Source organism: Homo sapiens, chromosome 15 (genome assembly GCF_000001405.40).
Source record: "Homo sapiens chromosome 15, GRCh38.p14 Primary Assembly".
NCBI lineage: Eukaryota > Metazoa > Chordata > Mammalia > Primates > Hominidae > Homo > Homo sapiens.
This window is the reverse complement of record NC_000015.10, coordinates 34,425,440-34,440,295: the sequence shown is the minus strand read 5'-3', so window position 1 is coordinate 34,440,295 and position 14,856 is coordinate 34,425,440. Positions and strand designations below refer to the sequence as shown.

The 14,856-nt window shown below is 49.0% G+C and overlaps 1 protein-coding gene across 7 annotated transcripts in view, besides 2 other annotated features; it reads left to right on the top strand.

Annotated features, from left to right (window-relative positions):
• GOLGA8A (golgin A8 family member A) overlaps positions 2,488-14,856 on the top strand; it is a 58,741-nt gene continuing 46,372 nt past the window's right edge. For 4 of the 7 annotated variants that reach the window (NR_027409.2, NM_001386895.1, NM_001368071.2 and 1 more), the window contains exons 1-2: positions 2,488-2,898; positions 4,825-4,913. The gene's annotated coding sequence lies outside the window, so the exon portion shown is untranslated. The remainder of the gene's footprint in view (positions 2,899-4,824; positions 4,914-14,856) is intronic. The other 3 variants (NR_164784.1, NM_001368072.2, NM_001386893.1) reach the window with 1 other exon arrangement.
• Positions 2,573-2,642: a silencer, noted in NCBI's record as "silent region_6286". NCBI's record gives its function as "represses an Ori minimal core promoter by ATAC-STARR-seq in GM12878 lymphoblastoid cells {active_cell/tissue: GM12878}" and the evidence as "EXISTENCE:reporter gene assay evidence [ECO:0000049][PMID:35858748]".
• Positions 2,885-3,094: a silencer, noted in NCBI's record as "silent region_6285". NCBI's record gives its function as "represses an Ori minimal core promoter by ATAC-STARR-seq in GM12878 lymphoblastoid cells {active_cell/tissue: GM12878}" and the evidence as "EXISTENCE:reporter gene assay evidence [ECO:0000049][PMID:35858748]".

The following is a 14,856-nucleotide window of genomic DNA, read 5'->3' as shown; positions in this document are numbered from 1 at the left end:
TTAAGCTAAAATGCCAGTTTATATCTTTTTTTGACTCAGATAATCTGACTCTTAACTTTTTATCACAGAGCAAATTTCAGGAAATGGATTGATATGATTTAGCTGTGTCTCCACCCAAATCTCACCTTGAATTGTAACTCCCACATTCCCACATGCTCTCATCTCATCAACGAGATCTGATGGTTTTTACAACTGGAGGTTTCTCTGCATAAGCTCTTTGTCTGCTGCCATCCACGTAAAATGTGACTTGCTCCTCCTTGCCTTTCGCCATGATTGTGAGGCCTTCCCAGCCACGTGGAACTGTGAGTCCAACTAAACCTCTTTCTTTTGTAAATTGTCCAGTCTCAGGTATGTCTTTATCAGCTGTAAGGAAACGGCCTAATACACAGATATATTTGAAAAATAAAACTAATAGAATTATTTATCTATTTTATCTGATATAAATATAGTTTACAGTCCCAGTAATTACATATTTTCTTCGTGCATACATTTATAGATTAATAGGGCAGAATCGGAATATATAAACTATATATGTAGTGTGTGTGTACATATATACATATATATATATGGAATATTTTCTCCTCCAAAAGAATAGAAAAGTTATTGGTAGTGTTACAAATAACTTGCACGTTGGAGTCATATGCAAGATTTACCAAAAAAAAAAAATTCTGGGAATTATGAAGAATAAAAATATTTTGAGATGCTCTGTTATTAGAAAATCAAATGCCAAAATGATGCTTATGAAATTTCTCTCTTCAAGTCTGTCTGAGCATAATCACCAAATATATAATTAGAATTCAGTCATTGGCTCTTGGTATTCATTGTTCAAACTGGCCAAAGAGCTACACAGAGAAAAGGGCATAATTTTATTTAATTTCAATAAGAATGTTTTTGTAGTCTTCTTTTGCCCTCACTTTTGTATGTAAATATTTATTCTTTCTCAACTCCAGCAACAGATACTACCTTTTGTTAGGCCAGTTTAATCTATCTAGAGGGAACTGCTTCCAAACAGGGACAGGTTGAGTATCTCTTAATCAAAATGCTTGGGACCTGAAAAATCCAAAATTGTGAATTTTTTTGAATTTTGGAGTATTTGCATATACATAATGAGAGATCTTGGGATGGGACCCAAGTCTAAACACAAAATTTATTTACATGTAGCCTCATGTTAATTTTAATTTTCTCTTGAAAGCACTGAATAAACTATGTGTTGTGTACCTGTGCTTTGGCTATGATACATTGCATGAGGTCAGGTGTAGAATTTTGTACTTGAGGCATCATATGGGCACCCAAAAAATTTCGAATTTGGGAGAGTTTTGGATTTCAGATTAAGGATGCTCATCCTTTGCCGGAATTCTACAGAAACTCAACCATACTTTTATTACTACCTTGGTGCAAAAGCAATTGCAATTTTTGGCAATGGCGAATACTGTAATTGTTTTTGTACTAACCTAATAACTACGGTTTTTATTATCCTCCTCCTTTGACATACAGAGAATATATTATTCTTCTGATATCATCTTCCATATGGCCCAAATATTTAGGAATTTCACATGATCATTTTTCTCAAAGCAAATGCATTTGTGGCCAAATTTTACAGTTATTACATAGCTAGCATGTTAACCTTGATATTATGTCACGTTTCAAATTTTGTTCCCTCTGATTTTAAACTGAATTGAGAAAAAAATAAACTTGGCTCTCTAGAAACGCAAAGAGTAAATGAGAAGTAATATGATATCGCACACTTAAAATATTTTAAAGCAGGCTTCTACTGTTACTGTTATTTTTTAGCACAAACCAAAAGTGACCATTTTCTTTGAATAAATAATAAAATTTTATATTTTAATAACATTGGCAAGCATTTTCTCATTTAAATATCTCAATTTTTAATGGAAAGTATTTCGTTTTATATAAGAGAAAAATATAAAAGGATCATGTGAGTTTATGAAAACGTCACAGATAGTGTATGATATGTTTTATGTTTATGTTTCATACTCCAAACCCAGTGGCTTTTGTGTTCAAAAACGACATTTGATTAGCAAGAGGAAATGGCCATTTTACTATTACTTATCTGGAATGGTAGCATATTCCAGATAAGTAAAGGAGAATCAGCCCCATCTTTAATACTGCCAACTGGATTTGTGTCATAAAGAGAAATTAGGGGACTAAAAAGGAAACATATAAGCCTTGTCTTTCCAGATTGGAGATGGATAAGTATATAAGGACTGACATACTATTGCTTTACAACAGTTTTCCCAGGACAAATTGAGACACCAGAAGCCAGCATATAGGTTGTGACTGATCTATTCAAATTGTTCCTAATAATGGCATCAGGGTTTTTTAAAAAAAAATTTTGTCATGCTTTAAGTTCTGGGATACACGTGCAAAACGTGCACGTTTGTCACCTAGGTATGCAGCTCAGTGCGCGTGCGCCATGTGGCGCGGCCCTGCGGGCTTTCCGTACTCCGCTCGCGGTAGGCTCCCGCCGCTATTCAGCTGTCGGGCTAATCAGCAGTCGAGGTGTGCGGCTAGGCGCGAGCTCTGCGGGAGCTCAGCCCCCGGGAGAGACCCGGCAGCGGCGCGGCGAGGACGGCGGCGCGGCGAGGACGGCGGCGCGGCGAGGACGGCGGCGCGGCGAGGACGGCGGCGCGGCGAGGACGGCGGCGCGGCGAGGACGGCGGCGCGGCGAGGACGGCGGCGCGGCGAGGACGGCGGCGCGGCGAGGACGGCGGCGCGGCGAGGACGGCGGCGCGGCGAGGACGGCGGCGCGGCGAGGACGGCGGCGCGGCGAGGACGGCGGCGCGGCGAGGACGGCGGCGCGGCGAGGACGGCGGCGCGGCGAGGACGGCGGCGCGGCGAGGACGGCGGCGGACCGGGGCAGCCCCGCGCCCTGGCCAGGTAAGCTGGGGAACCTCGGCTGCCTGACTCGCTGGCGGCGGCAGCCTTGGGCCGCCCGCGGCGCCGCGGGGACCCGGACGCGTGGGGGGCGGCGCGTAAGCTGCGGGCCAAGAGCTCCCGAGCGCTGCCCCCCGGACTCGGCGGGGCTGCGGGGAGGCCGCCGCTGGGATCTAGGGGTGCAGCCCGGCGGCCTTACGCCTCTCGGACCGGCCCATCCTCCTCCCACGATGGGCGGGCGGGTGCGGCGGGGACTAGGCGATGGCTTTCGCATCCCGGGAGGGGCTCACCGCGGCGAGGGGCCACTCTCGGCGCCGGCAAGTGGCGCTGTCTGGCGGGGCCGCCCGCTCGCGTCTCGCCGGGCTGGTCGGGCCGCTGGTGCGTTCCGCTGCCCGGCTTGGCGCCGGCATCAAGTCCCCGTGCCGGGCGGCAACTACTGAGTTTGGGATCGCCTCTGGGTTCACTTCCCTGGGAGAACTCGAGCCCGGATCTTCGCCCCTTCCCTTTCCCTGTATAATAAGGCCCAGAGGGAAAAACTCAAAAACCCCACACCTTGTTGCCCCTGGGCTGCAGGCGCCGGGTTGGGGGCACGGTGCGGACCTGCGCCTCTGCAGGGCCCCTTCTCCACGCCAGGCACTGCCTGGCAAGGCTGCTGGAGGGAGATCTGGCCGCAGATGGTGAAGGAGAACATCGAGGCCCCCGGTCCCCAAGCAGGGCTCCATGGGTCGGGCGGCGGGCCTTGGTAAGCCCAGGCTAGGGGCGAACTTCCTTTTCTCCGGGCCGACGCGGAGGGAGGGTGCGGGGAACGCCCGCGGAGGGGCCTGTCCTGCAGCACCCCAGTGGAGAGCAGAGCCTTAGAGGGGCCTGCTAGTCTTAACTTAGTATTTACTGGCAGAAGAAAGGCTTACTTTTTCAGATCTCTTCAGATAACGACCTGGCAGGCACCAGACGTAAATCTGTGGTTGAGTGCAGTCAGCTCCTAAACAGGCATGCGGTGGAGGAAGCGCCCCAAACTTGGCATCTTGTGTCTGGCACTTTGTTTTTGGGCTAAACTGCCTCTGGCGTCTTCAGCCTTCTGTGCCTCTTTGTTTTTGTTTGTTTTTCTATTTTCCTTCCTGTTTCAGAAAGGACAGTGGTTTTAGAAGTAATGACCTGAGAGCTTTGCAGGTTGAAGTGGGACAAGTTTTCCTAAGGTGCAGGTTGGCAGGTGCCAGGAGCCTGCCGGTGGCTTTTTCTCAGGCCTCTGGGTCAGGGTCCCTCCAGTGAGGTGAGGCAGGGGTTTCTCCCCTCCCAGAGGTGTGGCCACTACGCAGGGGGACAGGAACTGGGTTTCCCAGTCCGGGGAGTCCAGGATGCCCTGCACTCTGCGCTGATTCCTGGGTGACCGTGGGGGCTGCCTTCCCCCACAGCCTGGGCTGGAGAGGGTCTCCTGAGCTTAGGATCCGCGGGGCAGGAGGGCTGGGGTGACAAGGACACGTGGAACCTGCTGGGGCTCCGGGCAGTGTCCAGGGCGTGAGTAGATAAAGCTGGAGCTCGTAGCTGTGTGCTGGCAGCCCTCGGTGGGCTCTAGCAGTACTGGCAGGGGGGCCCTTGGAGTGGGCTCCCTCTCTGGGCTGGGACTGGGTGATGGCAGTAGCAATGGGGCACGAAGTCTTCCCTCTCATTTGTTAGGAAGTGTGGTCTGTGCTCCTCCCCACTGTCTGGCTCTTGGGCTGGGAGAAGCTGCAGGCTGAGTCCCACGGGGTGTGAGTGTGTGTGAGCAGGAGTGGGTGCTGGAAGGAGGTAAAGCTGGTGACCATCAGCTCCTCATTCTCTTGCACCTTGCATGTTTTCTCTGACACCGCAGACCCAAGTTGTGGCTTGCTGGTTAACTTGTTTACATAACCTTCTTAAGTAACTCTAAACTTTAAAAAAAAAAATGTTTTACAGGAATAATCGGTGGAGATGGATTGTGAAATGGAGGTGCATAAATATCCAGTTTGCCAACCGAGCTAAGAAATGCTGGATAAAAGTAAAAGGTAATTGTAAAAGACACTGATCACACCCCTGGAAGCTTAGAGATGGGATAAGACACTTTGATTTTTCCTAGACAAAACTGAGGAAGTCAGAGGAAAAACAGTTGATGGTGAGATTGGCATCAGGCTGGGCTTTGTTTGGATTGGGCCGCGGTGGCTGCAGTGAGGGCTGTTGGAGTGGGGAGAGTGGGGGTTGAGCCTGGCTGCAGAGGCCCCCTCCAGGCCTCAGCTCCTCTCCGGCACTCCTCCGTGTCCTCTGCCATGCATACCTGCCCCGGTGACTTAATAGGTGAGGGCCTCAGGTGACACCGTCGTCTGAAGTCTTGGAGAAACCTTTACTGTCCAGGGGAGGAGAGGACTGGCGGTCGGTGGGGATCGAGGCCCAGCACACATCACTGGGTGGCTTGAATGTCTTCGGCAGAGATCACATGCCCTGCCTTGCAGCCTGGTCCTTAGAGAAACGGAGAGAGCTCTGGGCCTGGGCAGCGGCCCTGGCTGTACCACTCACAGGCTGTGTGTCCTCAACGCAGTCTCAGTTCCTCACCCTTGCCAGGTGGCCGTGAGCACTGGGGACGTGGAGGCACAGGTAGGGTGTAAGGTAGTCCCTGGTGACCAGGCAGGCCTCCCAGATGTAGGTCAGGTTTGAGACGCTTGCTCACCAGGAGGCAGCCTGTGTGCCCATCGGGGGCTGGGGGTGCTCATTGTTCCCTTGGGTGGTGGTTGGCCCGAGCGCCCACAGGGAGACTTCTCTGGCTCCTTCCTTTCCCAGAGTTCCTCCCCACCCCCCTGCTGCCCACCGCCTGGGTTGGGTCCAGCTCATGTCTCAGAGCAGCCTGCTGGCACAGGCTGAGTCAGCTGTCATGGGCACTGTCGTTTCTCGCCTCTCCTGAAGCCAATCCTCCCCTCTCTCCCTGTCCAGACACACAAGGGAGGCCCGGGAGTTAGGTGACCTCAAGATCATGCAGCCAGGCTCTCTATGTGGAACCCTGCGTACTGGTGGGGTGCCATTGCTGTGTGCTTTATGATTTCTGTGCCGGCTGTGAGGTTTCCCAGGTTGGGCTGTGGGGTACCCCTGAGTCTGCAAGTTGGCCCAGGCCAGGTGTGTCACCATTGCCCAGGCCTTCAGTGGCTTTCCAGTGCTCCCTCCACATCCATGTGTCTCGGCCTGATTTTTCTCAAGTTCCCCCGCTCGCTCCCAAGAATGGCCCCTCCAGGCTCTCCTGGCTCCAGGCAGACAGGCTCATTGCCCAGATCTGCCCTGGGTTGTCCCCACCCCATCCCCACCTGTCATCTTGGCCCATGTCCATCCCGGAGATCCTAACTGAATGTAGGCTCTTTCATCTTATCCCTTGGTCCTCGGATTTGCCAGGCCACTCTTGCCTCCAGGCCTTTGCACCTGCTGTTCCCACCCCCTTGGCATCAGCCACCCCCAGATGCCCACCTGGCCGGCCCCTCACTTATTGCCGGCTCCCTGACAGCCCTACATAAATTAGCGTTACTTCCCCTTCTCTTGTTAACCTTGCTTTGTGTTTCTCCTTAGTACTCAACATTCAGTGTGTTATTTATATACTTGTTTGTTTATTGTCAGTCTCTTACCACTCAATTGTAAAAGACTTTGTTCACCTCTGGATCCCCAGTAGCTAGAAAAGTGCCTGGCACACAGCAGAGCCTTAGTGCTGTTGTTGGATGAGTGAGTGAATGAAACACGGGAGCAGTAGTCTCCTTGCAGCACATGTCCTGCTGCCTGTGCCTCCTTTTCCCGAGTCCCAGAGCTGGAACCTAGCTGTGTTCACATTTGGATCCTCCTGGAATGTAGCACAGACCCTCATTCAGTGGGCAGTCAAGAAAGAGCTTCAGAGTTGTACAGTGCAACGTCGGTTTCACATAGGCCAGAGGAGAACGTGTTTGGGAAGGTAACCAGCCCAAAGAATGAGCTTTCTTACTGTGCACTGAGATTCCTTTTTGGATTTTCAGTTGTTTGGGTTCTCTGCACCCGGGTGGTCCCTGCTGCCAAAGTCAGCGCTGCGTCTCCCTGCAGTCACCTCGGATGTGGATGCACTTTGGAAGGAGGCACCCCCACGCCCAGATTCCCTTCCCGCTCCATCTGGATCTTTCCAAACTTGTCCTGTACCTAATGTCAGACTCTGTCCCAGGGCTCTCAGCCACTCTGCTTTCCCTTCCAGAAGCCTCCTCCTGCCTGACTCTCTCCTGCGTGTGTCCTGGCCTGGTTGGAGAAGATGCTTTGGTTTTATGAGAAAGGGACTGGGAGGTCAGAAAAGAGGATGGGATTTGGAGTAACAGGAGCTCAGTTCCAGCCTGGCCCTGCCACTAATCCCTGGGGCCCAGGACCAGTCTTCTGGCTTGAGAGTCTTTCTCAGCATCTGCAATACCCGCGTGAGGCCTCTTGCCTGTGGTTGTTTTGAGGCACAGACGAGATGCAATATTGAACTGATGCGAGATATTTTATGACAGCAAGAGCTCCATGGTGTGGCTTCTCTTATTGTCCTGGGAGTTTTAAGGGTCAGGTTTGTGAGTTACAGCTACGGCCTAGTGAGAGAATGCAGAGGCGGCCTGTCATAAACTCTAAACTCTAAAGGGCTGTTTTAATGTAAGGTGGTGCATCTGTTGTTTTGTGTTTCAAGGATCAAAATTAAGAGAAAAAATACGTGGTTGAGGTACCTGCGTTGAGTGACTGTGAAAATATTTTCATCTCTAGTTGTCTGGAAACGGAAACACTCCAACATTTAAAGATGGTTTTGATGGCGAAACCACTGGAATGAAACACACATCATCGGGCAATTCTGTGTGTTGAGTTCCATCCCTCTTTGTTTATCATTTTAAATAATTTCCCGACAAATCTAGAAGGCAGGTCTTGTCTTAACTTTGCAACGAGGAGGCTGGGGACAGGTAGCTGAGCTGTGGGTTGCCTAAGAGCACTCGGCTGTGATGGGGCAGTGCTGGCCTTTGAGTCTGAGCTGGAGAGAGTGTGAGGTCCGTGTTCTGTCCCTGTCTCCTGCTGGGGCCCATTTTGTATCAGATTTGTTTTTAACAGGGTGGGCATGACTAGGACTCATGACCACTGGTGGGCACGTAAAGGTGCTAATTTTCAACACAAGCCGAGAGACTGATGGCTGGCATCGGAGAGTCGTGGAAATGCCACAGATGACGTGGGCCCTATACAGCGATGGGAAAAGGGTCTGGGAGCTAGCCCTCCAGGAAGGTGGCTGACGTGGTTGGTGGGACACTAAGGTGTTTTCCATTTTGCACTTGAAGCCAACATGGATTCTTAGCACTTCTTGTCCCTAGAATCAACTGTGCAGAGAGACGTTTGGTCGTGAAACTCTCAGGCAAAGACAGTTCTGAGGAAACTCTTATTAGTAAATAGTGAGTCGGAGAACACTATTGACATTTAGGATTTTCAGTTGAGATACATATGTACTGTCATGCATCACATGACATTGTTTTGGTGAATGATAGCATATATGACAGAGGTCCCATAAGAATATCATGGGGCTCAAAAATTCCTATTGCCTAGTGACATTGTGGTAAAGTTGTAGTGCAGTTACTTTATTTTAAAAAAATATATAAAATATTTAAAAAATAAAAATATATTTTTTTAAAATGTAGCCTAGGTATACAATGTCTATAAAGTCTGCACTAGTGTACGGACTGACTCACCCGAGCAACTTCCATTCATGGAAGGTCCATTCATGGAAAGTGCCCTAGACAGGGGCACCATGTTTTATCTTTTATAGCATATTTTAACGTTGTGCCTTTTCTATGTTTAGATACACACATTCAGCACAGTAACATGCTGCCTAGCTTTGCAGCCTAGGAGCAGTAGACTGTACCCTATAACCTAGTGTGTTGTAGTAGGTTTGTATAACGTATGTTCTATGATGTTCTCACAATGATGAAATTGCCTAATGATAAATTTCTCAGAATACATCCCTGTCGTTAAGTGACGCATGAGTGTGTGTGTGATATATATATACATATATATGCCTGTCGTTAAGTGACACGAGTGTGTGTGTGTGAGATATATATATATATATATATATATATATATATATGTATATATATATATATATATAATTTTTTTTCATTTGGTTGGTTTGGCATTCCTGGAATTGATTCTCCAGCAAGGCAGCTCTAAATATGAATTCCTCTGAACTGTTGTATCTGTTCTTAATTTAATAAACAAGTATCGTTTATGGTTTCCCGCAGTTGGTTTGATTATCAACTGTCTTGGAAAAATCCATTGTTTCAAAAATAGTAAAGCCACTAGTTGAGTAACCGCATGCATTTAGGGATGATGGATTTCTCAGGTCTCTCTGGAAGCAAGTGTGTGCATTGTACAATTAAAACACAGTTTCTGTTTCTCAGTCTTTTGGTGTAATAAGTGAGCCATGTGCTCTAGCATCTGTCTGAATTATCCGGAGCTGGTGGCAGCTGTCACGGGTGTGGTGCAGTGGGGCCAGGCGTGTGTTAGGAACTGGAAGCTCTGGGAAGCCAGGCTCTGCCTCCACGTGTGAGCCAGCTGTAGAGCGTCACTGCTCAGAGTTTGTCTTGACTCATCCCGAGAAGGGCACGTGGAGGTCTGTGTCCCATTCCTCACCAGCCACTGAGTTACTATGGATGGAGGAGATGAGATGTGTGCAACTGTTCTGCTACAGTAAAGCACGCAGTCAGTGCAGTCACCAGGGTTAGGATGTGTGAGTGTTTTACCAACCTGCCTGCTGGGTTTCAGACACCTGGCACTACCTCCAGCCTCTAACTGATTCTGGCTAGTACGCGTGAAAGCTGTCAGCTGAGTGATGAGTGGGCCGATTTTGGCCACAGGTCCCTGCACTTCCCACCTGGCCTGACTGCTAGATTCTGAGCCCCTGAGGCAGGACTGAGTGGGTCAGATTGATGGCTGATTGTCTCGGGAATGGCATTGGGTGAAGTCGAGATTTTCCTGACCCACAGCTCCTACTAGAAGTGCCTTTGTTTTGTGCATGTATTGTGAAGATTCTGCCTGTGAACTTTCTCTACCCTTTGAGTCCTAAGGTTCAGGTACCTGGAGAGGAGCGTGTCATCGTTTTGCAGGTGGGATGTGCGGTTGTTGGGGAAGACGTCTTTGTGCTGTGTTGGGTTGGAAGCTTTGAGAGCAGAAGCCCCTCCAGACCAAGAACTCCTGATTGTGTCTTTCCCTTGAGCTTTCACAGATTTCAGCTTCTAAATTAACTGCATTTTATTAAGTAATGGTTTTCTTCTTGATCACAGGCGTGCCTGTGCTTAATCAGCACTGAGGACTGGTGCTACTTCAGTTGATTTGATACACCTAGAGGCAGCCTCATCTCCAACTTGTCTTGGTTTCATTTGGGGAGCTGCCGTGGGGGACCCCTGGACTGGCAGCATTCCCACTCCTCACTTTGGCAACCCCGGCCTAACTCCTTGTATGTGTTGCTCCTTTTATCTGTCACATAGGGTGGCTTAATCTAATAGTGGAAACAAAGGGGTGCGGGACACTAACCTGGTAGGTCTCACCTTGCCCGTCATTCACCTCTCAGTCCTTTGACACTCAAGGACTCTGCAGTGGTACAACCGGGAGCAGGTACCCTTCACTTTTCTTACCCCCGAGTCCCTTTGCCTGGAGCACTGTCCATCTATCCAGCCGTGTACTCAGTAGGTATTTTCTGAGAAGCTACTATATTCCAGCTTTCTTGTTCCCAGTTTAGAGCTGGGTGGGATCAGGAGGAAGGGCATGGAAGGGGTTGCTGGAGAATGTGCAGTGGCATCAGAGCCCCATTCTGGCTCTGGGTCCAAGGCCCTCCTAGAGAGGCACAGTCTGGAAGATGTGAGAGCCCCACGGTAGGTTGGGGTGGATCATGGACCCCATCCTAGAAGAGTGGGTGGGTTTGCCCGTTCAGAGCCCAGGCCAGAAGAGCCCTCTCGGCAGAAGGGCCAGCCTGGAGTGTGGCACCCTGGGCATAGGGAGGGCCAAGTTTTTGGCAGCAGGATTATGTAGTTTGTGTAGGTCAGAGCTGGAGATGGGGGTTGGGGGGCAGTTCCTGACCATTAGGGGCTTGGTAGCCCTGGAGAGCCCTTGCTGTGGGTTGGGAGCAAAGTAGGTGGGCCAATAACAACACATATTTTACCAAGTGAATTCTAGGAGAGTGATTTCTGCAGCTGGCTTCCCTAGTGGACAGTTCAGAGCATGGGAGGAAGACGCGGTCAGGGGCGTGTTGAGAGGTGCATCCAGAGGCGAGAGGAGGGTGTGGGGAGGTATGAGCAGAAGATGTGACATGGGGTGGGGAGGGGTGCAGTGAGGACGCAGGAGGGTGGCGGGGGCAGGTGTCTGGCCGAGGCACTGCCAGCATCACGGGGAGGCTCTGGAGCCCACTCCCCACTGGGTTCTGTAGGAGGTGGCAGCTGATGCCAAGTCCCAGCCTTGCTAGTGCAGACGTTTTATTTTACCCTTCTTTTTTTTTTTTTTTTTTTTTAACAAGGATTTACAGGATTTGTAGATTAAATTGCCCCTGTTCTCCAAGAAGCAGCGGGAACAGCAGCGCTGCAGGGTGATGGGCTGCAGAGGCCTCTGCAGCAGGGTGGGGTCTGGGGAGACATTCGGGTGCCTCCTGTCCACGGCCTCGATAGGCCAGGGCGCCTGCAGCTTGGGCCCTCTTCCCCTTTCAGGTGGAGGGAGCTGTTCATCCTCTGGGGGCTGCTGGGCAAGAAACATTTCTTACGTGATAATGTGAAGCGTCAGAGGTCCCTGTTTGATAGGTAAGTTGCTGTATGTTTTGGAGCTGCAGGCAGTCTGTTTTTCTCACTAGCATGGTGTGGAGGTGGGGGACAGTATTCCCTCCCGTGAGGCCCACGTCCGCTTCATTATCCCTGTCTGCTGGGACTGCGCTGGATGCTGGCTGAGGCTGCCTTTGTTACTTCCATGCGCTGTAACTGGAAAGGCCTGCTGCTTGTTAGGCTCCTTAGAAATGTGATTTGAAGGCTGGGCACGGTGGTTCATGCTGTAATCCCAGCACTTTGTGAGGCTGAGGAGGGAGGATCGCTTAAGCCCAGGAGTTTGAGATCAGCCTGGGCAACACAGGGAGACCTCACCTCTACAAAAAAATAGAAAAATTAGCCAGATGTGGTGGCTCACGGGTGTGGTCCTAGCTACTTGGGAGGCTGAGGTGGGAGGATCGCTTAAGCCCAGGAGGTTGAGGCTGCAGTGAGTTGTGAGGGTGTCACTGCCCTCCCCTGGGTGACAGAGTGAGAACTTCTCTCTCTCAAAAAAAAAAAAAGAAGTCTGATTTGAAGGAGAGAAAGCTCCATTTGATGTGGGGGTTGGGAGTGGAGAGCACCTCTGCGATTAGACCTTTGTATCATCTTGATGATTTTAATCAGACATCTAATATTATGCTGTAGTTCATGTCAACTGATTTCCCAAACCTGAATTTCAGAGACTTCCCATGACACATCGGGCAGTGGGAGTGGGGATGGTGAGAGACTGTTAGTTATTCCAGGAAGAGAGGCCTTTTCTGATTGTCCTGCTCACCAGCACACTGAGGGGCTGGGCCGGTGACCTGATGGGCTGGGGAGTAGAGCCCTGGCTTATTTATGTGCACTTGTTTCTTTTGAACATGTCTTGTTTTGCTGGTGATTTGGCAAATAGGTTGAAACCAAGCCCTCCCCCAGTTCCTCAACCGCCTAGGACTCCACAGGTGCCTGGGAGTCCGATGGCTGGCAGGCTGCCTTTTGAAGCTTGGCCTAGTGTCCCACAGCTGTTGGTTGTCCTAGGAATCCAAGGAAAAGCTGCTGAATTCTGCGGCCCCAGGAGGATCTTTGTCCTCCTTTTGCAGAGCAGTAGGTGGATTTGCTCTGTTGAGCTGGAAGGAAGAATTTTTAGATTTCCTCTGGCTGAAGAAGTTAAAATGGAACCATCTACATCAAATCCCCACAATTGGACTTTAAAGCAAGTTTTCAGAAAAAACGGACTCGATTATTTTCTATGTGTGGAAGCAAATTCCTTGGGAACTTCTGGTGAATTTTTTTTTTTTTTTTTTTTTTGTGACGGAGTCTCACTCTGTCACCCAGGCTGGAGTGCAGTGGCACAATCTCGGCTTACTGTAAGCTCCACCTCCTGGGTTCACGCCATTCTCCTTCCTCAGCTTCCCGAGTAGCTGGGACTACAGGCGCCCGCCACCACTCCCGGCTAACTTTTGTATTTTTAGTACAGACGAGGTTTCACCGTGTTAGCCAGGATGGTCTTGATCTCCTGATCTCGTGATCTGCCTGCTTCAGCCTCCCAAAGTGCTGCAATTACAGGCGTGAGCCACCGTGCCCGGCCTAACTTCTGGTGAATTTTAAAGTGCTTGTCTATTTTGTTTTATTCTCCAATACTGAGAAGTCTTTAACAACTAGAGGCTGCTTGGGTAGGTCAAGGTCTGAGGGGCAGTGCTCCCCACCAGAGCTAATCATTAAATAGATCTGCCATCTGTAGTTTTTGTTTTGCGTTTTGAGATGGAGGTGTTGCTATGTTGTCTCTAGGCTGGACTTGAACTCCTGGGCTCAGGCAATCCTCCTGCCTCGGTCTCCTGAGTAGCTGGGACTACAGGTACATGCCACTGTACCTGGCTTGATGTCTCTGTTTTAAAAAAATTTTGCCTTCTCGCAATTATCTTGTATCTCTGGAGAAGAAAGGTGCCATTTTTCTGGCAGTGGAATTTGGAGTTGAGAAGGACCCTGGCTCCATCAACGGGGGTGGCGCCTAACATATGATAGAGCTATATAACATAGATCTTGAGATCCTTTAAATATCTGTTTCTGATTATGAAATTCAAATGTACTAATTATAAAGATTAGAACTTTACAGAAATGCATCATGTAGAATAGAAAATGAAAGCTTCCCCCTAACTTCACCACTGCCCCATTCAGTGCCCACAAAGATAATCATTGTTCACAGTTTGGTGGCGATTCCTCCCGTTTTCTTTTTCTGTCTGTGGACGTATTTTACTTGTCTTTTAAATACATACATATTTTAAAAGTATTTTTCAACAAAGTGGGATCCTACTGTAAATAAGATTTGCAGTTCGATCCGCTCACCAGCTGTGTGTCTTAGAGATGGTCCCTTGTCCTTTGCGCAAGCAGCGTTATTCTGACGCTTGCATAATATGTGACTGTTTATTTATTGAACTTTTGGGTTGTTCCGTTTTTCACACTCACGGAGAATGCTGACAGGTGGAGTCTCGTACATTAAACCCTTGCATCTGCATGGGGTTGTTTTCGTAGCATAGATTCCTAGAAGTGGACTTGCGGGGCTGAATGGTTTGGGCATTCAGAGTGTCAACAGATATTGCCAGATTGCTCTCTTGACAGGTGGTGACCATTCTAAATGATGCTAGTGTGTGGGGCAGCGGTGTCCCCACTGACACTCTCTGGACATCGACACTCTCTGGACATCGACGCTCTCTGGACATGATCAGTCTTTGTGTTTCATTCAGTCAAGTGGGTGTAAAGTGATAGCTTATTTCATTTTGTGTTTGTAAAAATTGTGAATTATAAGAAGCTGTTTCTTCTGTGCTTACTACTAATTTGAATTTCTCTTTCTAATTCTCTTTTTCATCCTTGCCTGTTTTTCTCTTGATTTGTGAAGCTTTTCCTTGTTGATTTCTAGGTGTTCTTGGTACACAGGGTTATTCCTCATTTTCTATATATATTGCGGATATTTTCTCTCAGATGCCACTTGTCCTTTGAATTTGTTTAAAGACATCTCTGGCAATGTAAAAATTTGGAAATTTTACATTGTTAAAACTATCAAGCTTGCTTTAATTACTCCTGAATTTTGTATCTTACTTAGAGAATGGGTTTCTGTACCCTAATGTATATAACCACCCTCCTGCATATTCTGCTAATACTTGATAGTCTCGATTTTTTTACATTTACATCTCTTCTTTGATCT